This window comes from Homo sapiens, chromosome 2 (genome assembly GCF_000001405.40).
Source record: "Homo sapiens chromosome 2, GRCh38.p14 Primary Assembly".
In the NCBI taxonomy this organism is placed as follows: domain Eukaryota; kingdom Metazoa; phylum Chordata; class Mammalia; order Primates; family Hominidae; genus Homo; species Homo sapiens.
In genome coordinates this window covers 111950985-111978253 of record NC_000002.12, presented here as the reverse complement: position 1 = coordinate 111978253, position 27269 = coordinate 111950985, and the positions used below count along the sequence as shown (strand labels likewise).

Sequence of the window (27269 nt, the reverse complement as noted above, 5' to 3'; positions counted from 1 at the left end):
TGCTTGAACTCAGGAGGCAGATGTTGCGGTGAGCTGAGATTACACCATTGCACTCCAGCCTGGGCAACGAGAGTGAAACTCCATCTCAAAAAAAAAAACAAAAAACAACCAAAAAACAAAACATAAAAAAAAAAACCAAAAATTAGCTGGGTGTGGTGGCATGCACCTGTAGTACCAGCTACACAGAAGGCGAAGGTGAAGGTGGGAGAATTGCTTAAGCCAGGAGTTCAAGACTGCAGTGAGCTATGATTGGCGCTGCACTCCAGCCTGTGTGACAGAAAAAGGAAAATAAGAAAGAAAGAAAAAAGGAAAGTAATTATAACTGCATTCTGGATGGTCCAAAACTTAGAGACATAAAAATGCAAAAAAGAGATAAAAATTACGGTGTATGAGATGAAATATAAACTGGATAGGACTAATGTCAGATGAGATACTACACCAAAAAAGATGAGTGAAATTGAAGACATAGCAACAGAAACTATCCAAAATAAAATGTAGAGATAAAAGAAGGGGAAAATAATAACAGATCATCAGTGAGTTATGGGACAACTTCAAATGGTCTAATATATATGTAACTGGAGTCCTTAAAAAAGAGGATAGGTGGAAACAGAAAAAAAATGTGAAGAAATAATGGCCAAACTTTTTCCAAATTTGATGTAAACAACAAATACAGAGACCCCAGAAGTTCAATAAACTCCAAACACAAGGCATATAAATAAAATTACACCAAAGCCTGTCACAATTCAATTGCTCAAAATCAGTGATAAGGGTAAAAATAGGAACAAAAGACACATTACATACAGAGGAACAAAGTTAGGATGATCACAGATTTCATGTGGGAAACAATGCAAGCGAGAAGATAGGGGAGCAACTTCTTTTAATGTACTGAAAGTAAAAACAAACAAACAAAAGCTAAAATTGTGAACCTACAGTTCTATACCTCATAAAAATACCTTTCAAAAATGAAGGCTAAAAATAAAAATAAGAACACTTCAAAAGTAAAATAAATATTTTTCCCCAGACTACAGGAGCTGAATACCATACCAGCAGATCCACACTAGAAGAAATGATTTTTAAAAAAGTTCTTCAGGAAGAAGGAGAATGATGTCAGATAAAATATAAAGACCAAAAAATGAAGACCACTAGAAATGGTAACTATAATGCATAAACATGTGTTTTTCCTGGTTATATAAATCTCTTTGTAAAAGATTACTGACTGAACAAAAATAACAACAGTGTAGCAATGGTATTTTAAGATACATTAAAGTAAAATATTTGACAACAGTAGCCAAAAATATCTGAAGGAGAAAATGGAATATATGTGAAATGGTATAAATCACTTGAAGGTACACTGTGATAAGTTAAATATGTACACTGTGAATCCTAAAGCAACCACTAAAAGAACAGAAAAAGAGCTATGGCTAATAAGCCAAACAAAGAATAAAAAATAAGAATCATAAAAATATTAAACATAGAATCATAAAAATATTAATATTAAAAATATAAAAATAATATTTTTAAATGAAGAAAAAGAAGAAAAGGAGAACAAATTACAGATAGAACAAATAGAAAATACGATGCAATTAAACCTATCCATTTGAATGATTCGATTACATTTTAATGGACTTGTGGGTTATTTTATGTGTATATATGTGTGTATATGTACATATATATAATAACCTACACACACACACACACACACACACACACACACACACACACACACACACAGGTTTTTGTCATGATTTCTGGCTTACAACTCCCATAGCCCTGGTTACAATCTTTTGCTATGATGTTGGGTGCTTTACGCCTCAGGGGCAGGCCTCAGAAAACAATCTCTCTGACCTCTTCCCGCCCTCCTTTCACCTGCCTCAATGCAGGACTCTAATCTTCCCCATCTTTCTGACTGTGGGTCATAAGACCCTTATTACAAAGGGGGTCCTGACCCATAACCTGGAGGAAGGAATGCTGACATCATGAAGCTTCCACAAAAAAACAAGAGAACAGGGTTCAGAGAGCTTCCAGATAGCTGAACATGTGCAGGTTCCTGGAGGGTGGTGCGCCCAGGGAGGGCATGGAAGCTCCACACCCTTTCCTTCTATATCTCATCCTCCGCATCTCTTCATTTGTATCCTTTGTAATATCCTTTATGATAAACTGGTAAATATAAGTATTTCCCTGAGGTCTGTGAACCGTTCTAGCAAATTAATTGGACACAAAGCTGAGGTCATGGGAAACACTTAGTCAGAAGTTCCAGAGGCCCAGACTTGTGATTGGCATCTAAAGGCTGGGGACGGGGTTGGGAGGGAGGGGAGGCCTGGGGATTGAGTCCTCAACCTATGGGATCTGAAGCTATCTCCATGTAGTGTCAGACTTGAATGGAGGACACTCAGCTGGTCTCCGCTGCAGAGCCGACTGCTTGCTGGTGGAGAGAAATCCCCACATATATTGGAGTGGCCGAAGGCTTCTGTATTGACCACTGTGTTGGTAACATGTATTGATTGTTGTGTTGTGAGAGAGCATGTTTTAAAGTGTGCTGCTATTATCTCCTATGTAAAAGAAAAGATTACCTATACATAACACGGCTAAGTTTTGTCACTGAATGCTTTTACAGTATGGAGGAAATATCTTTCCCATTTTCATCAGTCGCCTCAATAATTTTCTCCTCCAGAGACAAAGTCCAAACAAAGCAAAGTTTCAACTCTCAGTCAGGCCACTGGGAAGGGTTTGTTGAATCACATGTCATTGGGGGCAATATACATTCTGAACCCCAGGAATTACCTCCTTCAGTCGTGCTGGCTAGAATCCAAGGGCTCACTGCAGACCAGCCTATTTCATTCATGCAGGAAACACCAATGCTGTAATTAGCCAGGGCTTGCAGCTGCTTGATTTGGTACAGATGTGGTAAGGCAGAGGTGTTAAAAATCATGACTGAGCCATTACTCAGCGGATCAGCTTCCTTGACCTAAACGAAGAGTAAACATGAGGACCGGGCATTAGTAAGGTGGTGGGAATGTCAGGCACGGGGCCTGTGTGCATTCGGTGCACGTGGCCCTTCCTCTACGCTAAGGGGAAGGACCTGCTTCCTTTCTGGGCACACACACATTTTACCGCTAGCATCACTGTGTGTTACTCATGCCCTCGGACAATAACTGAACACCTGAGGAAAACGCCTAAAATAACAATTAACAATTCTCACTGTGGCAGGTAACGGAGCAAATAATTATGATGATTAGAATTCATATTATACTATAAAATAAAGCCTCTCCTCTCTTAGAACCTCTTCGATTCTTGACCTCTTTCAGCTGCTTCATGGAGTATGCAACAGAGGAAACAGATATAATATGTGCTGGCAAACCCTGAAATATTTACTATTTTGCCTTTTAAAGGAAATATTTCCCAAATTCTGCTTTTAGAGGATGGGTTTCTTGCTTTCTTTTTCTTTTCTTTTCTTTTCTTTCTTTTTTTTTTTTTTTTTTTTTTTGAGATGGACCTTCGCTCTCTTTGCCCAGGCTGGAGTGCAGTGGTGTTATCTCAACTCACTGCAACCTCCGCCTCCCGGATTCAAGCAATTCTCCTGCCTCAGTCTCCTGAGTAGCTGGGATTACAGGCATGTGCCACCACGCACAGCTAATTTTGTATTTTTAGTAGAGATGGGGTTTCACTATGTCGGCCATGCTGGCCTCGAACTCCTGACCTCAGGTGATCCACCTGCCTTGGACTTCCAAAGCGCTGGGATTACAGGCGTGAGCCACCACACCCAGCGTTTCTTAATCTTTCTTTTTATTATGTAACCTAAGGAACACTGCTCTTGCCTTGAGGCTAACTTTATTTTATTTTATTGTTATTATTATTACTACTTTTTTTGAGATGGAGTCTGACTCTGTTGCCCAGGCTGGAGTGCAATGGTTTGACCTCCGTCTCCCAGGTTCAAGTGATTCTCCCACCTCAGCCTTCAGAGTAGCTGGGATCACAGGTGCCTGCCACCACGCCTGGCTAACTTTTTTTTTTTTTTTTTTTTTTTTTTAGTAGAGGTGGGGTTTCACCATGTTGGCCAGGCTGGTCTTGAACTCCTGATCTTAAGGGTTCTGCCTGCCTTGGCCTCCCAAAGTGCTAGGATTACAGGCGTGAGCCAATGCACTCATCCTGAGGCTAATTTTAGTGTGTCCTTTATTCTTAACCCCTTCGACCCCAACAGAAATTGAATTCCAGAGGCACACACAGGAAATGTAGATTCTTGGCTTTTTTTTTTTTTTTTTTTTGATGAGGAGATATAGCAAAGGGTCATTTGCCCCTCCTTCAGAAAACTTTTCTCCAAATCTCCTTTAAACATACTGCCTTATCTTTCCCTCCATAACTCCACCAGTCTCTCCACATCCCCCTCCAAATCTCTGTATACATAGGCAAGAGAGGGCGATTCCCAGCACAAGTCTAGTCCTGGGCGAAACTTCCATCTCTTTCCTCGCATACCTCCTGTCTGGGTATGGGGATAAGGGAGAGTATGGGATTTTGTTCTCCATTACATGCTTTTTCAAAATTTCTGTAATATGTGGCACTTATAAAATCAGAACAGACAAAATGATATCGGGTAAAACATGCAACTGAGAGCAATTTGGGAAAAATCCTCAGGCCACAAAATGTATTACTGTTAATAATGGGCTTGCAGTTCTGGGCTCTGGATATACAGTACTGTAATTTCAGGCTATGTGTGCTTGAATCTTAGGTCAATGAACCAGAAATAAACATTCTGGAATTCCAAATCCCCTGGCAGATACCAGGAGTACGGTGTGGGGGTTGAGTTTCACCTCTGACTCAGACCCCGTGGGTGACAAGAAGGTATCATTTGGCCTGAGGAGCCACCAGAGGAGAAACGAGAACCCAGACGCTTGTCTTGGTGGTGGCTGTTGGCAGACATCACTTTTTGTTTGTTTCACTTTAGAGTGTGCACCTACTTCCTGGTGACCAACCACCAAAGCGAAGGTGGAGGAAACCTTTGGCTCTCCTCCCCGCCCCACTTCCAGAGACATGTGGGGAGCACTTCCAGGCTCAGGGACACTGTCTGAGAGCACGTTCCTAGAGGAAAACAGAGTTTCTATAACAGTCCTTCTCAGTCAGTGGGTCCTCAGGGAAAACAGGCATGAAGTGGCAAGAAGTACATGGGAGAGCTAAAATTAGAAATGGAGTGTGTGGCCCAAAAATGGGTGAAGAAAAGAGCTAAGATCAGGACCAAAGGAAGTGAGAGGGTGTGTCCTGCTAGTGCATGGATCTGAATCTCATCCAAAACATTCATTTGGTCCCGAGTCAGAGTTTAAAATTATAATTTTACAAAGCCATACTTGGTCCCTTCAAAAACTGGGAATACACTGTTAATGACAGAATAGAAAAGATAACTTTTAGAGCTTGTGCTGATTAACCCCAGTGGGACTGCAAGAGAATATAAAGGACACCTAGTTAAACTTGAATTTCAAAGAAACAACAAGTAACTTTTCAGTATAGGTATGTCACGACATTATTCATGCAGTTTAACTGGGTGTCCTGTATTCTTATTTGCCAAATCTGGAAAGCCTACCAGAGATGGAAAGGAGAAAGGATGAATGGAGGCTGAGCTAGCCAAGGGGGACAAGAACAGAATCATCATATCCAGCACCACAGAATCCAAGGTGGGCAAGAAAACACTGGACTTTGGCTGTCTCAGGATGCTTCTTCATGTGTACCATGAACACCCAAAACCATGGCAGAAAGAGAGCAGGTAAATCTTGTGTGTGATCATCTTCCATCATCAGGGGTGACCTGGTGTTTTCAGACTTTTCAACCATCCTACCCACCTCACGTCACTGAGACCTGCCGTCTCAAGGTGGGGTGGTACTCTTCCTGAGAGTCTCCCTGAAGCTCACCATCCTCATGTTTCATGTCCTCTCAGGCTCTTCAAACAACTCAGCACTTTGGTAACAGTTTTAAAAAGGGCTGGCCCATGCTTCAGTTATGTCCATGTATATAAATGTCTACCTCAGCCTGGGTGACATGGTGAAACTACATCTCTACTAAAAACACAAAAATGAGCCAGGCGCAGTGGCAGGTGCCTGTAGTCCCAGCTACTCAGGAGGCTGAGGCAGGAGAATTGCCTGAACCCGGGAGGCAGAGGTGGCAGTGAGTTGAGACTGTGCCATTGCATTCCAGCCTGGGCAATAAGCGCGAAACTCTGTCTCAAACAAACAAACAAACAAATAAATAAATGTCTACCTCTAGGGAAAGAGGCCCTGGATATTTCTAACAACAGAGCCCCAAAAGAACATGAAGCAAAAACTGATAGAACGGAAGGGAGAAACAGACAATTCAAAAATAAGAGCTGAGATCTCAATTCCCCATTTTCAATAACAGATGGAACCATGAGACAGAGTATCAGCAAGGCAACAGAAGACTGAAGACTCTAAACCAACAAGACCTAAACCACATGCACAAAACACTTCATCCAACAACAGCTGAATGTACATTCTTCTCAGGTGCACACAAAACTTTCTCCAGGATAGGACTTAGGTCATAAAACAAGCCTTAATAAATTTAAAAGGATCACAGTCATGTGAAGTATATTCTCCAAACACAGTAAAATAACATTAGAAATCAGTAAAGGAAGAAAATTTGGGAAATTCATAATTATGTGACAATTTAAATACACACTTCTAAATAATCAAGAGGACAAAAAAAATTCACAAGGAAAATGACAGAAAACTTGAGATGAACAACAACAACAACAACGAAAACCTTATGGGATGCAGCTAAAGCAGTGCTTACAGGGAAATGTAGAGTGTAAATGCCTATTTTTTTTTATATATAAAAGAACACAATCAATAACCTAACCTCTACCTTACAAAACTAGAAAAAGAGCAAACTAAACCAAAGCAAACAGAAAAAAAAGAAACAAAAATTAAGGCAGAAATAAAGAAAATATAGAATACAAAAACAATAGAAAAAAATTCACAAAATCAAAGGTTGGTTATTCAAAAAGATAAATAAGATTGACAGATTTTTAGCTGGACTGACTAAGAAAAATAAGAGAGAAGACAAATTACTAAAACCTGGAATGAAACAGGGGATCTTATTACTAACCTCAAAGAATAAAAAAGGTTATAATGGAATACTATGTACTATGTTGTATACCAATAAATTAGATAACTGAGACGAAATGTTCAAGTTCCTATAACATAGAAACTACCAAAGCTGACTCAAGAAGTAATAGAAAATCTGAATAGACTCATACCAAGTAAAAAGATTGAGCTAATATTGAAAAAACTTTCCACAAAGAGAACAAATTTTATTAAATATTTAAAGAAGATTTAACATCAATCTTTCACAAATTCTTCCAAGAAAAGAACAAGAAGAAGGAGAAGAAGGAGGAGAAGGAGGAGGAGAAGGAGGAGAAGGAGGAGGGAGGAGGAGGGAGGAGGAGGAGGAGGGGGGAGGAGGAGGAGGGAGGAGGAGGAGGAGGGAGGAGGAGGAGGAGAAGGGAGGAGGGAGGAGTAGGGGGAGGAAGGACAAGGGAGGAGGAGGGAGGTGGAAGGAGGAGGAGGGAGGAGGAGGAGAAGGAGGAGGAGGACTTTCATACTTATTCTAGAAGGTCAATATTACACTGATGCCAAAACCAGAAAAAGCTACCACAAGAAAACTACAGACAAATATCTCTTATGAATATAGACACAATTAGATAGTGGTAATGGCTGCACAATTCTTGAATATACTAAACACCGTTGAACTGTACATTTTAAATAATGGGTGAATATAATGGTATATAAAATATATCTCAGCTGGGCGTGGTGGCTCACACCAGTAATCCCAGCACTTTGGGAGGCTGAGGCTGGTGGATCACTTGAGGTCAGGAGTTTGAGAACAGCCTGGTCAACATGGTGAAACCCCATGTCTAGTAAATATACAAAAATTAGGTGGGCGTGGTGGCACCCGCCTGTAGTCCCAGCTACTCGGGTGGGTGAGGCAGGAGAATTGCTTGCACCCAGGAGGCAGAGGTTGCAGTGAGCCGAGATCACACCACTGCACTCCAGCCTAGGTAACAGAGCGAGACTACGTCTCAAATTAAAAAAAAAAAAAGTAAACTATATCTCAAAAAAAGGTGTTAAAAAAAATCAATCACAAAAAAGACCATTCCTGGTGAGGAATTGTAGATGCAGTAAGAATTCCTAACACTTACCAGTGCTTGGGAGGCTTACAGGAAAAAAAACAAAAAACAAAACTGAGCAAGAATTAAGAAAGGCTGGGCAGGGCGCGGTGGCTCACGCCTGTAATCCCAGCACTTTGGGAGGCCGGGACAGGCGGATCATGAGGTCAGGAGATGGAGACCATCCTGGCTAACACGGTGAAACCCCGTCTCTACTAAAAATACAAAAAATTAGCTGGGCGCGGTGGCGGGGGCCTGTAGTCCCAGCTACTCAGGAGGCTGAGGCAGGAGAATGGCGTGAACCCGGGAGGTGGAGCTTGCAGTGAGCTGAGATCGCGCCACTGCACTCCAGCCTGGGCAACAGAGCGAGACTCTGTCTCAAAAAAAAAAAAAAAAAAAAGAAAGGCTGGAGGTGGTGGGTGAGGGCGGAGGCTATTTTACGGATAATACAGGCTTTTACTCTTCAGGGAAGGAACACCTGTTAGATAAAAGTGGGAGGCGTTAAGAACAGAGAAATTAATTTGACTAGCGAGTAAAAACATCTAGTTGTCAACACAAAATTCTTTGAGCTGTGTTGGCATGACTGGCCTGTGTCAGGTTAACATATTTTTAACTAATGAGACCAGATATTTAGTAAACTAATTCCTGACCCTACTGTATGATTAAGTACCAGGCAGGATGCATTAATACTTTTAGTGGATAATTCCTGCATGTTCGGTAACCTGCTCCCAGATGCGATGTCCCTCCTGAGACGGAAGAGCTGATGGTTCTGACCGCTGCTTTAGGCACTGGAGCTTCCTGGACTTGAGTTCTGGTTCTACCACTCACAGGCTGTGTGAGTACTCTGAGCCTGCAGTGCAGCGTGTGTTAAGTAAGATAATGTTTGCAAAGCCCCTGTGGTCCCTTAGTAAACAGTTGTTACTGCCACCATTTTCATTTTTATGAAGTGAAAACTCAAGAGCACAGCTTACATCATGGGCAAGTTATCATTTTAGGATGGCTAATAGCACCGTTTCATACCCATTCAAGGCAGCAGTGAAAAATGGCTGAAGATTCCACAAGGCCTGCAATGACCAGGATCCCCCGGTGACACTGGGTAAGGTGCTACGCTCAGTAGCACAGACGACCTATCTTGTCCTGGCCCTTCTGTCCTTCATGGCCACCAGCCCAGAAGGAGCCACACTGGGGAGTGCCTGGGTTCCTCAACTCTTGGTCACAAGCATGTGTTTCGGGACCTTAAAAATGAACTCTCCCTGGTCTTGGCTGGGCGTGGTGGCTCACGCCTGTAATCCCAGTACTTTGGGAGGCCGAGGCGGGCGGATCACTTGAGGTTGGGAGTTTGAGACCAGCCTGACCAACATGGAGAAACCCCATCTCTACTAAAAATGCAAACTTAGCCGGGCATGGTGATGCACGCCTGTAATCTCAGCTACTCAGGGGGCTGAGGCAGGAGAATTGCTTGAACCAGGTGGAGTTTGCGGTGAGCCGGGATCACACCATTGTACTCCAGCCTGGGCATCCAGCCTGGGCAACAAGAGTAAAACTTTGTCTCAAAAAAAAAAAGAAGAAGAACTCTCCCTGGTCTCATGATGTTCTCCCTTGGAAACACGTTTTGCTTCTGACTGAGCCCTGAATCCTGCACAGGAAGGACACAGTATCATGGGCAGAGCATGGACATGGAATAGTGCATGCATGCTGGACACTGAAGCAGGGAGGTCAGGGGACTCTGTACAGAGATGGAGAAATGCCCTCCATGCCCATCCTTGGAAGGAAGAAAAATCCTTAAACCCACAGAGAGCACCAAACAGCTACTTCCCTCTTCACCCTGGAACTTTACCTGAATGCTGCAATTCCTGAACGGGGAGTATCCATCAAAACCAGGAACCCAGGAGATCAGAATGCTGTGTGCAGTGCTGTTACGGATGCTGACTTCAGTTGGTGGGGAGGGAATTGCTGCATAAAACAAAACACACACACACACATACACACACAAACACAATTATAGATGACAGGCTACAGCTACCAAACAAATGCATTAATACCTGTTTTCGTTCCTTGAGATTAGTAAAGGGAAACATGTTTTCAAGAGGAGCCTCCCTATGCCTGAGGGTAATTGTGTTAGCCTATGGATGGGCCAAAGAAGTCTTCCAGTGAAGGGCCAAAGAAGTGAACGCAGACCCACTTTCCTATTCACTAATGAAATGAGGAGACCTTTGAACTGGAAAAGATGTGGAAATACTCATGTCCTTTACTGAGTACATGTTCATGGACCCTACTGTGTGCACCTGGCTGGGCACTAGCTTACTAAACAGAGACAGAGTCATAGCCCTGCCCTCGTGGAGCACATGGCCTGGTATAGGAGACCCACGTTAACCAAGAATAAGAGCGCCCTGTCACCAGAAGAGAGGGGTGCCACAGGAGAGTGTGTGCACGCATGAGTGTGCATGTGTATGTGTGCATGTGTAGGGGGAGCTTTCCAGGCCGAGGAAACACTAAGAGTCAGTTCAAGCAAAAGAGCCAGCTGCATCTGCTGGGGGAGGGGAAGGGGTGTGTGTCCTCGAATGGGTGGGCTATGACCTTGGAAACAGATGGGTGAAGGGTAGCTATTTCAATTAGAATCCAAGAAGGATCTTAAATTTGGGGAATCTTATTTCTTTGTGCTGAATTTAATTCATAATAATAATTACACTCATAATTAAAAATGAAGGCTAACACTTCCTGTGCTTGCTATGTGCCAGACACTTTGAGGGCTTTCTTTAATCATTCCTAGAATCCAATTAGAGAAGTAGTCTTACAATCCACATTCATAGATAAGGAAACAGGATCAGAGAAGTTAAAAGCTTGGCAAAAGTCACAGAGAGGTTGTAAGCAGTACAACAGGGACTTGAACTCTGGTCTGCCTGACCCTGGAGCTTGTGTCCCTCAACAGGACACTGGAGGCCTATTGCCAAGGGCAGCAAGCAGACAGTGGGAACACCAGCAGGGACTGTGAGTCTGGTTTACCACCTGACCTGCTGTATGGCCCCAGGCACAGCTACACACGCCCTATCTACAACTACACACAGTTGTCTCCTCTATAAATGGGGATAGTACCAGCACTGCTCCATGGAGCTGTGGTGAGGAATAAATGTGGGGAACTGTGGATGAGGCCCAGGGAGGGTGTGGTGAGGATGAAGGTGATGATGGAATGAGCAGGAGAGAAGGAGGAAGGTGTGTCAAGACCATATCAAGCGTGCCCTGGGGGCCACATTTAGGAGTTTGGGTTTGATTAGTACACACAAAGCCTTGGGAATGGGGAAGAATAAGGTTTGACTCACTTTCCTCCACAGATTATTTGTGGAACTGCCCTAAAGCATCTGCCTTTCCAGACCAAAATTTGACCACATATACCATAGTAATTACACATTAGAAGAAGGGAGGCTTGGTAGCTTTGACATAAATTTTATAATAAATGAAAGCCAAAAACAGAAGTTTGGGGAATGATCTAATAGAATAAAACCTTAGCTGAGATTCTGAAGCATAAAATTGGAGAAGTGCTTTTCATTTTATACATTTTTAAATTTTAAGAGGTTTATACTTCATGAAAATGTCTTTACAAACTCACACACACTCATGAATTTTTGACATTCCCAACATGTCTTTTGGAAATTGTAATAATGGGAATTGTGATGAAGGAAGGAAGTTATACACTTCCTCCAGTAATAACTTTTAGTTTGGTTATTTTTTTATCCCAGTGAACTTTTAGAATATTCCCTTTCATAGCGTTTGTCCAGTTGATTTGCTGAAACTAAAATTAGCATCTTTTTTGAGTATAACTTCTTTTGTAATTTTGAGTCTCCTTCTGTATGTACCCAACCTTTAATTCATTATTAAACAAGTTCTCCTTTTTCCTTGCACTGTTTCCCTAAGGACAAGAGGAAAAGAACATGAGCCAAATAATTACTTCTCAATATTTAAACTATGATTAAATAGTAAAACATAAAATTTGCTTGAATTTCTATGACACACTAAGGAGGATGATTTAAAATGAAATAAAAAGATACTACCTAATTGTAGGTTTTTCTTTTCTTTCAAATTTCAAGTTTAACACCTTTGATCACACAGAAGGAGAATAAGGTAGATTGGATTGAAATGTCTCCACTAGCTTGGAGGCCTTCAAATGTGTGCCTTTAATTCTATTATCATAACTCACGGCCAAGCAAGCTCAGCCTAGTGAAATCCTAGCTCAGAGGAAACAAGAGGAAGAGGGAGTTTAGGAGGAAGAGGGATAGGAGCATTGGGCTCCAAAGAGTGATCTGCTTCTTGCTTTTCCTCTGTCTCCCTGAGTCAGTAGGTGGCAGGGAGTCAGTCAGCAGGCCCCGCTGACCTGGGAAGGACAGGGTCCATTTCCTAGATCATGCCCCAAGAAAGCCCCATCCCCAGGGCTCTTCAAGGGTTAATGAGTAGTTCACGGTGGAAGAGGGAAAAGTGAAAATAGGAACTAAGAAAGAGAAAACATTTTAGCTTGTTTTCTTCTTGGAGTAAGCAGAGCTAAACGAGTGAATGTTTATCAAAGACCTATATGCCAGGCACTTCTGAGTAATTTACTTGTATTAAATCAATAAGCCTCAACAATAGGTAGGTTCTGTAATTATCTCCACTTTTCAGAGGGGAACCCTGACACCAAAGAGGAGAAGTGAGTTGTCCAAGGTCACAAAGAACCTTGAGACAGTGAGAAAGCCAGGATCCACACCCAGGCAGCCAGCTGCAAGCTCATGCTGTACCCTCACCAGCTCCCAGAACATGCATGGGGAGCCTAGCCTTGCTGCTTACCTTTGATGTTGATCTGCACTCCCTTGGACACGGTCAGCCCTTTGTCATTGTGGGCCTCACAACTGAAGACCGCCATCTCCGTCAGGCCTGGAATGGAAGGAGACTCATGAGACCAGCAGCAGAGAAACAGGCTGCTGTTCACTACAATTCTATGGTTGTCTTTGTATTATTTTATTTCTTGGTTCATGGCTTTTGGGCATTAGTGCAAAGTTAATTTAAAAGGTGTGCTAGCTATGGAGAAACAAACCTGGGATTAAACCCAAGGCACCAAGAGCAAGGTAGCCATGGGCCCAAAAGGCAGCTGCTTTCATTTATTCAGATCCTGAATGGTGAGACATTAGGTAATAAAGCAGGATCATTTAGATTTTTACTGCAAATCGCTAGCCCCAATATCAAGGAAAGTGGGTTCTGAGGCTCACCTGATCCTGCTGCCTAACCCCCCAGTACATACAGGGCCACTATGCTATGCATATTTCAGAATACCAGAAATAGCAAAATAAAAGCCACAGTTTAAAAATCTCAGATGATGTGTTGTAATGAATCCTTTTTTAATAGTAAAAACTGGTCAATTCACAAGGATGCATCATATAAATGCAAGGCGTTATAACTAATCGAAGAGAAGACACTAGTGCTAAATGAAAAATTCTATCATTTCAGAGGTTTGAAGACATCTTTAAAAAATTGATTTATTAATTTTAAATAGGAAGACAAGTTAGCCAGATCTTGTTTTCTAATGCCATTCTCCAATAAATGGAACCAGGGCTCCTTGGAGAAATGGCTGATTCTCAGATTGGAGCAGGAAATATATAAGTCTGGAGTAAAATATAAAACAAACACAACACACAACGTACACACACACACATGCGCGTGCGCGCGCGCACACACACACACACACACACACACACACACGAGACAATGATGGGGCATGTCAAAGAGACACAGCAGCTAACTCAAAGAGTTCCCAATGGCCAAAGCTGGAACAATTTGAGCAGGAAAATAAAGTAGCTTTGGATTATAACCCAAAGAAGAAAAAAATATCCAGGAGTCTCTACTGATATCAACAAATAATTAGATAAATTGGAGAGAATAGACAAACCTTCTTGCAGAATAATTCCAAATAGTTTATTGGATATTCTGCCCTCAAAGAGGTGGAGCATAACTCCCCACTCCTTAATGGGCTGCATACAGTGACTCCTTCCAACAAGTACATTATGGAAAGAGCAAAAAAAAAAAAGAAAGAAAATTTTTGAGTGGAGAAACTGACAAACTACCTGAGCCAGATGATCAAGTGCTATATCATGTTGACAGAATGTACCCTTGGAAACAGGTGATGAAAATGTCACTTCACCTCTATGGCCTTCCTCCCGAGAACAAAAAAACCCCAGGCTAATGATGAAAAAAATACCAGTCAGTTCTAAATTGTGGGACATTCTACAAAACACCTGACCAGTGATACCTAAAACCTGTCTGTGGGGAAAAGAAAGAGAGATCAGATTGTTACTGTGTCTGTGTAGAAAGAAGTAGACATAGGAGACTCCATTTTGTTCTGTACTAAGAGAAATTCTTCGGCCTTGAGATGCTGTTAATCTGTAACCTTACCCCCAACCCCGTGCTCCCTGAAACATGTGCTGTGTCAACTCAGGGTTAAATGGATTAAGGGCTGTGCAAGATGTGCTTTGTTACACAGATGCTTGAAGGCAGCATGCTCGTTAAGAGTCATCACCACTCCCTAATCTCAAGTACCCAGGGACACAAACACTGCGGAAGGCCGCAGGGACCTCTGCCTAGGAAAGCCAGGTATTGTCCAAGGTTTCTCCCCATGTGATAGTCTGAAATATGGCCTCGTGGGAAGGGAAAGACCTGACCGTCCCCCAGCCCGACACCCGTAAAGGATCTGTGCTGAGGAGGATTAGTATAAGAGGAAGGAACGCCTCTTGGCAGTTGAGACAAGAGGAAGGCATTGCTCTCCTGCCCATCCCTGGGCAATGGAATGTCTCCGTATAAAACCCCATTGTATGTTCCATCTACTGAGATAGGGGAAAACCGCCTTAGGGCTGGAGGTAGGACATGCGGCAGCAATACTGCTCTTTAAGACATTGAGATGTTTATGTGTATGCATATCTAAAGCACAGCACTTAATTCTTTACCTTGTCTATGTTGCAGAGACCTTTGTTCACGTGTTTATCTGCTGACCTTCTCTCCACTATTATCCTATGACCCTGCCACATCCCCCTCTCCGAGAAACACCCAAGAATGATCAATAAATACTAAGGGAACTCAGAGGCCGGCAGGATCCTCCATATGCTGAACACTGGTCCCCTGGGCCACCTTATTTCTTTCTCTATACTTTATCTCTGTGTCTTTTTCTTTTCCAAGTCTCTCGTTCCACCTAAAAAGAAACACCCACAGGTGTGGAGGAGCAACCCACCCCTTCACTGTCAAGGTCATTCAAAACAAGGAAAGTTTGAGAAATTGTCACAGCCAAGAGGAGCCTAATAAGACATAGATGACTAAATGCAATGTGGTGTCCTGGATGAGATCCTGGGACAGAAAAAGGACAGGAGGTAAAAAGCTAAGGAAATATCACTAAAGTATGGACCTTAGTTAATGATGATGTATCCGTATTGGTTCATCAATTGTAGCAAATGCACCACACCAATGTAAAATGCTAACGATAGGGGAAAGTGGGGGTGGGGTTTATGGGAAATCACTGTATTATCCCCAGTGTTTTTCTATAAGTCTAAAACAATCCTAAAATTTGAAATTTTTTTTTCTTGAGGTCGAGACTCACTCTGTCATCACCCAGGCAATGGTGCAATCCCGGCTCACTACAACCTCCACCTCCCAGGTTCAAGTGATTCTCCTGCCTCGGCCTTCCAAGTAGTTGGGATTACAGGCACCTGCCACCATGCCCGGCTAATTCTGTATTTTTAGTAGAGACGGGGTATCACCATGTTGTCCAGGCTGGTCCTGAACTCCCGACCTCAGGTGATCCACCTGCCTTGGCCTCCTAAAACGCTAGGATTACAGGTGTGAGCCACCACACCCGACCTGAATGGTTATTTTTTAGAATTACAACTATACAAGTATTTACTATGTAGTTGAATCTGGAAACTTCTATATCTGTGGCACACAGAAACATCATCTGACATACAGTAGTATCTTCATAAAATTGTTGAAAATATGCCACCATTTGCTTCTTGGCAGAAAAGCTTATTTTGTGTCTTCTGTCTACATGTGTAGGAAATTTTCCATCAGATATTTTTAAACTCAAAGCTTATCACTAATAACAGTAATAAAATATTTGAAGAATGAAAGGGAAAAAAACTTGCTGAGGGAAGCACAGCAGGCATCAGCCTAGAAAAGCTGTTCCTGGTCGGATGTCTGCATGGCCACGACTGCGCCCCGGCTGCAGCCAAGTGGTCACTACATGGCAGAGAGCTGTGACTGAGAGACGCTGTAGAAAAAATGCATGTCTGATCCTTTTTATATTAGTGCTTCTCCTGAGGGGTTAAATGTGCATAAAAAAGAAAATCAGTGCTGGTGGGTTTTTGTTATTTTCCATCTAGATGGAAGGTTGTCACCAGTGTCTGCGTTTCCCTGACTACACACGGGTCCCTCAGGGAAAAGCAAACCCATACATCTCTGTCCTATGATTCGGTGGTAACCTTTCATTTCTTCAAAAATAACATGGTATTATGGAGAGGATTTGACTGCTACTTCACAGTATCTTAATTTTCAAAGACGAGGAATACTTCCCTCAGATGGGAGGAAACCCTAAGCTGGATTGCTTAATTAAATTCTCTTGAAAATTTAAAACGCCGGCCGGGTGCGGTGGCTCATGCCTGTAATCCCAGCACTTTGGGAGGCTGAGGCGGGCGGAGGTCAGGAGATTGAGGCCATCCTGGATAACACTGTGAAACGCTGTCTCTACTAAAAATACAAAAAAATTAGCCGGGCGTTGTGGCGGGCGCCTGTAGTCCCAGCTACTCGGGAAGCTGAGGCAGGAGAATGGCTGAACCTGGGAGGCGGAGCTTGCAGTGAGCCGAGATCACACCACTGCACTCCAGCCTGGGCGACAGAGCAAGACTCCATCTCAAAAAAAAAAAAAAAAAAAAAAAGAAAGAAAATTTAAAGTGCTAAGAAACAAAAACTCCTGGTAGAAGCCATCTACTTTCATATTTTGGTCACTTCTTCTCAAGTGAGGCATGAAACTGCTACTAGTTTGTGTAGTGAATTAGAAAATATTTATTGCACTGAGGAGGAATATTTCTCTCACACCCATTACACACACATCTATAAAAGGATCCCTGTGATACTCTGCCTCGGGGTCTTTATATCTTCTGCTTGTATTACTCCTAGAGAATTTTGAAAAATATACGTGGACTCTGACACATTTTGAAGTTTGCATCCTTAAATTTTTCGTAATTTAAACATCTTCAAAAAATGTAATTTGAGGTACCTTGAATATCTTGACACCAACACCCACTGTAACGACTCTTCCCCAGCAGCAAGTTTTCCACCATGACTCTTCTACCAGCCCCAAGAATTTCATCTTAATGGTACACATTTGAAAGTTTTTGCTTAAACCATGGGAACTTATTGGCAACAAAAACATATATATACCTTGAAATTGCAAAAATATTTTCTTCTGAATTGATTATACTCATTATTAGGATGCAATTAATCAAAACAATGTAAGTGATTCTTAAACATAAGTACAACTTTATTGGAAGAGCAATTTCTTTGCTGGACAAAATTTGGAATTTTCTTTTCTTTTTTTTTTTTTTTTTTTTTGAGACTGAGACTCGCTCTGTCACTCAGGCTGGAGGGCAATGGCATGATCTTGGCTCACTGCAACCTCCGCCTCCCAGGTTCAAGCGATTCTCCTGCCTCAGTCTCCCAAGTAGCTGGGATTACAGGCATGCACCACCACGCCCGGTTAATTTTTGTATTTTTAATGGAGACAGGGTTTTACCATGTTGGCCAGGCTGGTCTTGAACTCCTGACCTCAGGTGATCCACCTGCCTCAGCCTCCCAAAGTGCTGGGATTACAGGCGTGAGCCACCACGTCCAGCCAAAATTTGGAATTTTCTGTCTCTGGAAATTTCTTAACCCCAAGACAATGCACCACAGCAACCATTCTCAAAATATGGTCAAGAGACTTCTGGGGATTCCAGAGACCCCTTCTGTAGTCCTCAGAGTCAAAACTATTTTCATAATAATAATATATTGTTTGCTCTTTTAATTCTCATTATCTCAGGAATATATGATGGAATTTTCCAAAAGAATTTCCCAGAGGCTATATGATATATGATGATGCCATAGCATAGATGTATTAGCCAATGAAGTGTATGCTTGTGTATTTTTGTGTTTTAAAAGTTTTCAGTTTTAATTTCTAATTCAGTAAATATAGATAGATATGACCCACATAAACAAGAACTCTGGTTCTTGATAACTTATGACTGTAAAAGGATCTTGAGGCCAAGCACAGTGGGCTCACTCCTGTAATCCCAGCACTACAGGAGGCTGAGGCAGGAGGATTGCTTGAGTCCAGAAGTTCGAGAGTTCAAGTCCAGAAGTTGCCCCACCCTGGGGCAACATGGTGAAACCCCATCTCTACAAAAAACACAAAAATTAGCTGAGCATGGTGACATGCACCTGTATTCCCAGCTACTTGGCAGGTTGAGATGGCTGAATCACCTGAGCCTAGGAGGTTGAGGCTACAGTGAGCACTCCAGGCTGGGCGACAGAGTCAGGCTCTGTCACACACACACAAAAACAAACAAACAAAAAACCAAAAAGAAACAAACAAACAAACAAACGAAGGATCTTGAGACCAAAGCATTGAGAACTGATGCTTCATAGTGGTGATTCCAGACAAGCAAGAGAGGTCTTTTTTCTTTTGTAATGCAAGGAAGAGATGAAAGGAAAATAGGGAGGTGGAAAGGGAGAACTGGCGAAGTAACTGGACTTTGGGCACGTTGTCAAGCATTGATTTTAAGAAAGAAGATACATATAGGATGAGGATGGAGACACTGATCCCACTAAGGGGTCCATGCTCTGCTGATCACTGTTTCACAGTGAGGCCTTTAACACTTTGATTTTCATGCCTTGGCATCACTTTTAACCTTCCAGATCCTAAGCTCCCAAGTGATATGCCCATTTCAACCACCAGGCTGCATGAACTTGCAAAACCTGGCTTATATTTAGAAAAATTGGCCTTGGCTCAATCAGAAGATACAGGGAGTTACTAACTTACCTTTTTTATATATTGGAGGAGACATTGGCAGTTTAAAATTAGTCATTTGACTTCAATTATTATCAAAACTCTTAGGAAACCCTTGAATACAAACTACAAAATTACATTCCAAACTTGTCATAAGGGGAAGAGCCAGCCCTGTGGTAAAACCGGAGGTTTATTTCACTGAGATCCATTATCCAGTTATAGAACCTATAGTAGGATCCTATAGTAGCAGATTTCAGGCCCAGTGATCTTTAGTCCTAACAGGTTTATTAATGCTGAAAGGGAAACATTATCACAGAACATGACTTCAGGTCAAATGGACAGTCATTTCTCCTGTGTGTTTCTTTTCATAGTGCACCCAAGGTCAAAAAAACAATCTATAGCAAATGTCCTAGCACAAGACACCTACACCAAGTCTGAATTGCCTGGCAGTAACCACACAATGTATTAAAACAGTGTACAAGGTCAGGTGGTTGGTGCCCATAGGCCAAAGAGATACCAGTAGAGAGAAGAGGAAACTAGTTCAAACCAAAGGTAAATTTCTCCAAAACCAGACAGCACTTAGGGCCAAATATAGTCTTCTTTGCTTAATTTTTCAGCTAAACTTTAATGGCTTAATGGCACTGGCTTCCCAACTAGACACTCGTTTATAAGCCTGGATTGACCATAGCAATGAGTGTACACTAGGAGAAGACAGCTCCCTCTCACTCGCCAGTTCTCTCTGTGTGGATGAACAGTAACTACCAGACTGGAATAGACCTTGACATTTACAGCCCCAAACCCTTGTGACTTTCCAGGGAGAAAAAGCATCCAACTCCCTAAGTCTCCACCCTCCCACCCACTCTATCCTGAATGGCCCCGGGCACTGGAACCCCCACAATCTCCTGAGCCAACTCCTCTTCTAGTGGGTAGGTCGTCCCTCTTAGAGCAATTTCTCCTTTTCACCCAACTCCATTATGATGGTTCACGCCCCTCTTGCTTGGTCCTCTGCTGGTTTGAGAAAAGATATTTATGACACAGCTCTGACAGATATTTTTAAGGAACATTCAGTAACAGGATGTTCCCTTGAGAGAAGGACAATCCGAATTGCTGAGGGAGCAACTCCTAAGAGCACAGTTGAGCCAGTTCTTTGAGTTCTGGATTAAGCAATCCCGCAAATTAACTAGATAAACAATTCTGTCCCTTCTTTTTCTTTTTTCCCTAGTGTCCATCTTTCTACCAAAGGAAGCAACAAATGGAAGATCATGCTGCATAAGTGAGGTAGCTTCTTAACTTGGACCTCTCTATCTGCTCTGCTTTCATCGACTTGACAAATATTTACTGAGTATGTACTACAAGCCAGACATTTTTTCCAGAAACTTGGGATATATCCATGAATAAAACCAAGATCCCCACCCTTATAGAGCTCACATTTTCAGGGGGAGAAATGGGCAATAAATAATAACCTTGATAAGTAAGATGTATGATATATTAGAAGGTGATAAGTACTATGGAAAAACAGAAGACGATCAGAGGGTCAGGATGGGTGGGGAAGCAAGCTGTAATTTTAAATGATGGGCGGGGGGGTATCAGAGGTGGTTCCTTGAGAAATGGCCTCTGAGGAAAGAGTAGGAGTGAGGAAATGGGCCAAGTTGATACTCGGGGGCCTGGGGAGGTTCTAGGCAGAGGCAACATGTGGGAGAGGCCTTTTGCCTTTTTCTCTGAGTTGGGTAGAAAACCCAGAGCTCTGAGCAGAGGGCTGATATGATCTGACTTGTATCAGGATTGCTCCAGCGGCCACATGGAGAATAGACCTTAAGAAGGCAGGTCTCGCCGGGCGCAGTGGCTCACACCTGTAATCCCAGCACTGGCCAAGGCGGGCGGATCACGAGGTCAGGAGATCGAGACCATCCTGGCTAACACGGTGAAACCCCACCTCTATTAAAAATACAAAAAATTAGCCGGGCTAGGTGGCTGGCCCCTGTAGTCCCAGCTATTTGGGAGGCTGAGGCAGGACAATGGCGTGAACCCGGGAGGTGGAGCTTGCAGTGAGCTGAGATCACGCCACTGCACTCCAGCCTGGGTGACATAAAAAAAAAAAAAAGAAAAAAGAAAAAAAGAAGGCAGGTCTCTTAATAGCTCCAAATGTTTTTCTAATATGTAAAATGGGTATTAAAAATGCCTAACTAGCCTGGACAACATAGTGAGATCCCGTCCTACAAAAAATTTGAAAAAAGCTTCTTATCCCTGTAGTCCTAGCTACTTGGGGCGCTGAGGTAGGGGGATTTGCTTGAGTGCAGGAGTTTTGAGGTTACATTGAGTAGAGATCACGCCACTGCACATCAGCCTGGGTGACAGAGAAGACCTTGTCTCTAAACACAACAACAACAAAACTGCCTAATTATCACAGCTTGCTATGTGATTCAAAGTAATTCTTTACAGAAAGTACTGTGGGCATTATGAACTAATTTGTATAAATTCTAGTTATTACTGTTGTTTCTGTTATTACAAGGATATTAATAATTATATCCAGCTAACTAAAACAAAAGCTAGCTTAGCTGTTTCCTAGATGTGGATTTAAATATAAAATGTGTATTTTTTAAAAAAGAAAAGCCTGAAAGATCAACGCAAGCCCACCACTGTTAACAGAAAGGCAGGTCAAAATTGACAATGAGTTAGTAACTATTGCATATAAAAATAACAACACAAAAAATATAATAGGTAGCATTTCAATCATTCCTATAGGCAATCCTGGTACCAAGGGCTTTACATTCATTATTTCACTGAAACCTCATAAATGTTTTATGTAGTAGACACTGCTATTATCCCTATTTTATATACAGAAGTTGAGTAACTTGCCCAGGGATACATGACAGCAAAGTGGCATCAGTCTACATGCCAAAGCTAGAGCTCTTACCCACTAACTTTTTTTTTTTAATACTTTAAGTTCTAGGGTACATGTGCACAATGTGCAGGTTTGTTACATATGTATACATGTGCCATGTTGGTTTGCTGCATCCATCAACTCGTCATTTACATTAGGTATATCTCCTAATGCTATCCCTCCCCCCTCCCCTCACCCTATGACAGGCCCCGGTGTGTGATGTTCCCCTTTCTGTGTCCAAGTGTTCTCATTGTTCAATTCCCACCTATGAGTGAGAACATGCTTACCCACTAACTTATAAAGCACTCCACCATTGAACACCATGAAGCTAAAGCTCTTTGCAGTTCTGCTCTTTATTTTGGGATTTGGTTTTGCCCATGATAAAATTCTTTAAAAAAGAAACTTTTTATTTTGAAATAACTTTAGACTTACAAGAAGTTGCAAAAATAGCAGAGTTACTGTACATCCTTCACCCAGCTTTACCCAATGATAAGATCTTACATAACCATGGTATAATGATCAAAACCAGGAAAGTGACTTTGGTACAATATTATTAACTAAAACACAGGCCTTATTAAGATTTTACCAGTTTCTGCTTTGTTTTATTTTGGGGGGAAGAATGAGTGTATAGGTTTATGCAATTTTATGACAGGTACAGATTTGTGGCTACAGAACTGTTCCATTGCCAAAAAGAAGCTCCCTCTTCTACCCCCTTATAGAACATCCTACCCCCAAACCTAACCCCTGAAATTGTTCTGATATGTTCTCCATTAGCAAAATTTTGTCCTTTTGAGAATGTTATCTAAATGGAATTGTACAGCACGTAACCTTTGAGATTGGCTTTGTTCACTCAGAATAATGTCCTTTAGACAAAGTACTTCTTTTCATGTCCCTTAAAGAAAGCTCATACAACACAGAGGAAAAATAAAAACTTGTATCAAGAGGGAAAAGGCATATGACCTTCCTGTTCCATAAACAATGCTTGCTCAAAGCAGTCCAAACAATCGGCTATTTAAACCACTTAGCATTCCCTCAGTAGAAGGGGTCGGCAAAGTTTACTTAGGGGTCAATTTCAGATAGAATGGCGTCCCCTGGGAACACTCACTGCTTTATTTACATCAGCATGTCAGGGGCAGCTACTCTGCACAAGGCCCCCCAAAGCTGACCTCAGCACCTAGTTCCTCATACATGAATTACTGGAAGGGACTCAGGTATCAAACTAAAGCTTCCTCAAAATTAAAAAAAAATTAATTAAAAATAAGTTTTTACGTAGTTCTTTTATAATGTTACAAAACGCAGACACAAGGGAACAGTCAGCAACTAGCTGACTTTTGAGAGTAACCCCTGTGAGCCCAGCACAATCCCCACAGTCAGCAGCCTGGGCCCCACGCCCTTCCTCCCTGGACTTGTTTTAGCCCTTTGGGTCTACAGAATGGACATTAAAGATCCTGTTCTATTAATTTTACAGGACCAGCTGGAGATATAAATGAGAAAAGAGATAAGAGTTTAAATGTAAAAATAATTTTATAAATACAAGTTACTTCATTATCATGATGTCCCTTTGTCCCAGTGAAAGGACCTAAAACTCGGGGACTATTTGTAATTCATTTGTTTGCTCATTAGTTCATTCATTCATTCACATAGTTCTTATGTGCCAGGCACTGTGCTGGGTGATGGGGCTAACCTAACTAATAAATCATACATAATAATCACTTGATTAGTAAGTCTTCTTGGAGGCCTGACAAATAGATAGAGGGTTTGTTCTTCAATGCAATGGGGAAGAGGCCTTGTGAATATACAGACAAGGGGGTGACCAGGAAGGTTTTCAGAGGAGAGCCGTGATCTGTGTGTCAAGTGAACAGGGGTTTGCCAGACAATGAGAAGGCAGCTTGGCAAGAAGGCACAGTCGCTCATGGGCCTGCGAAAAGTTCATCAGGTCTCACAAGCAGGTGCCTTTGCAGGTGAGGCAGGCGGAGACCGTGGGAAAGTTAGGCTGAAGCCCCAATGGGTCTCAGACTTCAGGGTAAAATGGTAGATTTTAACCTGCATGTAGTGGGGAGTCATGCCAGGAATGAGAAGCTCTGTATTTTAGGAGAACCTCTTTAATCACAAGGTGGAGCATCACTCACTATGGTGGTGGGGTAGGGGGATGAGAACGAGAAAGATTGGACCACAGGTAAGAGGTGACAGCAACAGTCCTGGCGATGAACCAGGAAAGCCTGAATTAAGGCCATGGTGGTGGAAGGGCAGAGGAAGAAATGAGCACAATTGACATTTGAGAACAATGTACAGGGCCTGGGCACAGTGGCTCACGCCTGTAGTCCCAGCACTTTGGGAGGCCAAGGTGGGTGGATCACCTGAGATCAGGAGTTCAAGACTAGCCTGGCCAACATGGTGAAACCCCATCTCTACAAAAATACAAAAATGAGCCGGGCATGATAGTGGGTGCCTGTAATCCCAGCTGCTTGGGAGGCTGAGGCGGGAGAATCACTTGAACCCTGGAGGCAGAGGTTGCGATAAGCAGAGATCACGCCATTGCACTCCAGCCTGGGCGACAGAGCAAAACTGCATCTCAAAACAAAAAAAAAAGAGAGAACAATGTACAGATCTTGGTGATGACTGTTGGATGGGCGAGAGAGAAGAATCTGGGTAAGTTTCAGGTTTCTGGCTTGAATATATGATTACTCCTCCAGGCCTTCACTTCACTGTATAGCATGAGCTAGACCATCTTCACTATGAAACAGGCATTTAATAAATACTGTCACTAAGAAAAATAAAGTCAGCAGCCCCACTTTCCAAACCCTTCACAAATAGGAAAACTGCCTGAGCAGTGCGGTATACTGCGTATTGATTTAGAAACTAGAATTTCGACTCAGCAGTTTAAGTAAGAGTTCTTCATTTACAGACACATTTGTCACTACTCTAAAAACTCTAGAACAGCTGGTGAAATGTTAGTGAGGATTTCCATCATCATGGTTCAGTTTTTGGTTTTTGGTACCCGATGGCCCCTGATGGAGAGTGAATTCATCATGCACACCCACATTCAGAAGCACCTTCTGGTGAATGCTGCCGCAAGTGCTCTCCTACTGGTCATTTCTACAACTACCATGTTCCAGGCACTGAACCAGACCCCTGAATATGTGGCCAAAAAATCCTTCAGTTCCTGCCTTCAAGAGCCCCCCTGGTCTCATGGAAACAGGCAGAGGCGTAAATCAGATATTCTGACAGATGAGAGTATTTGCCATCAGACTGGCAAAAAGTCAAGACTGAATACTGTGTGTATGTGATATAGGGCACATATTACCATATTCCACTAAAAAGATTGCCAACTTGCAAGGCCTTTTTGGAGGGAGATTAGAATGTATTAAAATTTAAAATATGTTCACTTTTCCCTTCAACTCCCATTTAGATATCCCTCCTAAAGAAATACTGGTGGTGCTCGCTTTGGTAGCACATACACTAAAACTGGAACAATAACAGGGAAGATTAGTGTGGAGCCATTGCCCTGACAGCATGTGGTACTGTGGATTCCATGAGTGTGTACAGTGGGAAAGCAACAACACTCGGTTCCACCACCCCGTGCACTGGTCAGCTGGACAAACTCAGACAGGTATCTACCCTGGATAGACTTTACAGAGTTTTAGAAGACGAAAATGAACATTTTTGGAGCCTAAGTTTTGGCTCATTTGTTGGATCAGTGCATGTAAGAATTTGGTGAGATGCAAATGAACAAATAGTTCTTGTTCCTGTGACCAACAGGCTGTATGCTACAGTTCTATTCTGACTGTTCAGATTTTTAAGGATGATTGGATTAGGCTGCCCTGCTGTCTGGGTCTGTCTCCTAAACTTTTCAGATCATCATGTAATTCCAATGACTCTTTTAAAGGGTACTGATGATATGAACACTGTCAGATTGATTCCAGCTAAACCTAGTAGTCCACCTTGAGAATTTTCACGTAACACCCTGGAAAAAAACGTGAGCCCAAGTCTTCTCTACCAAAGAAAAAAAAAAGCTTCAAATTTTAAAAAGTAAAATTAAATTGTAAAGAACTTGAAATGCAAAATAGGTGGTCGTTGTAAGGGTGTAACTGACCTTTTAGAAATAAATCAGATCTCCAAGCTAAGACAAACTACAGCCTTGGGTATTAAAATAGTTTGCACATCTTGTCACAAAAACACACTTCTAATTTTGAGAAAACATACAGAAAAGTTCTAGACAAACAGAGATGGACAGATTTTGTCCCTATTTTTATAAAACATACAAAAATCTATTTTCTATTTACTAATAGTAAATAATTGGGAAATAAAATCAAATATGCTATTTATTAGTACATAAGTACTAAATTAATGCATTCTGATTGGCTGTACACTGTTGATGAAAATGTAAATTGGCATAGCCATTAAGGAAAATAGTTTGGAGGTTCCTCAGAAAATTAAAAATAGAACTACCATATGATTCATCAATTCCCATACTGGGTATATATATCCAAAGGAAATGGTATGAGGATCTCAAAGAGGTATCTGTGGTCCCATATTCATTGCAGCATTATTCATAATAGCTTAGACACGGAAACAATGTAAGTGTCCATAAACAGATAAATGGATTAAAAAATTATGGTATATATATATATATATATATATATATGGGAATATTATTCAGCGTGTACAAAAAAGAAAATCCTGGCATTTATGACAACATGGATGAAACTGGAAGACATTATGCTAAGTGAATAAACCAGACAAAGAAAAGAAAAACTACTGCATGGTCTCACTTACATGTGCAATCTAAAAAAGTTAAACTCACAGAAACAAAGAATAGAACCGTGGTTTAAAAGGGTGGGTGGAGGTGGGTGAGGACTTGGTCAAAAGGTAGAAAGTTTTAGTCCACAGGATGAATAAGTTCTAGAGATCTAATGTACAGCACAGTTAACAAAATTGCACAGTATACTGGAAATTTGCTAAGAGGGTAGATCTTAAGTGTTCTCATCCTCCTACATGCCCTCCCCTGTCGCCTCCCTCCCTCCCCGCCCCCCGAACTCCGCCACAAATGGTAACTATGTGAAAAGATAGCTATATTAATGAGCTTGGCTGGAATAATCAGTTCACTATGTATTTCAAAACATTACATTGTATACCTTAAGTACATACAATTCCAATTTTAAAATAAAAAAAAATTTAACAAA

General features: G+C 41.9%; 1 protein-coding gene and 1 pseudogene across 1 annotated transcript in view, besides 1 other annotated feature; one reads left to right on the top strand and one right to left on the bottom strand.

Moving 5' to 3' along the window:
* The window catches only part of MERTK (MER proto-oncogene, tyrosine kinase), a 130955-nt gene that overhangs the window by 51308 nt on the left and 52378 nt on the right, over positions 1 to 27269 (bottom strand). Inside the window, exons 5-7 of the mRNA NM_006343.3 lie at positions 12977 to 13063; positions 10002 to 10117; positions 2782 to 2965 (exon numbers count right to left, since the gene is read on the bottom strand). Of these exons, the coding sequence (NP_006334.2) occupies positions 2782 to 2965; positions 10002 to 10117; positions 12977 to 13063 (387 nt within the window). The remainder of the gene's footprint in view (positions 1 to 2781; positions 2966 to 10001; positions 10118 to 12976; positions 13064 to 27269) is intronic.
* Positions 2768 to 3062: an enhancer, noted in NCBI's record as "tiled region #3720; HepG2 Activating DNase matched - State 14:Gen5'". NCBI's record gives its function as "activates a minimal TATA promoter and a strong SV40 promoter by Sharpr-MPRA in HepG2 cells {active_cell/tissue: HepG2}" and the evidence as "EXISTENCE:reporter gene assay evidence [ECO:0000049][PMID:27701403]".
* SLC30A6P1 (SLC30A6 pseudogene 1) lies at positions 25583 to 26083 on the top strand (annotated as a pseudogene).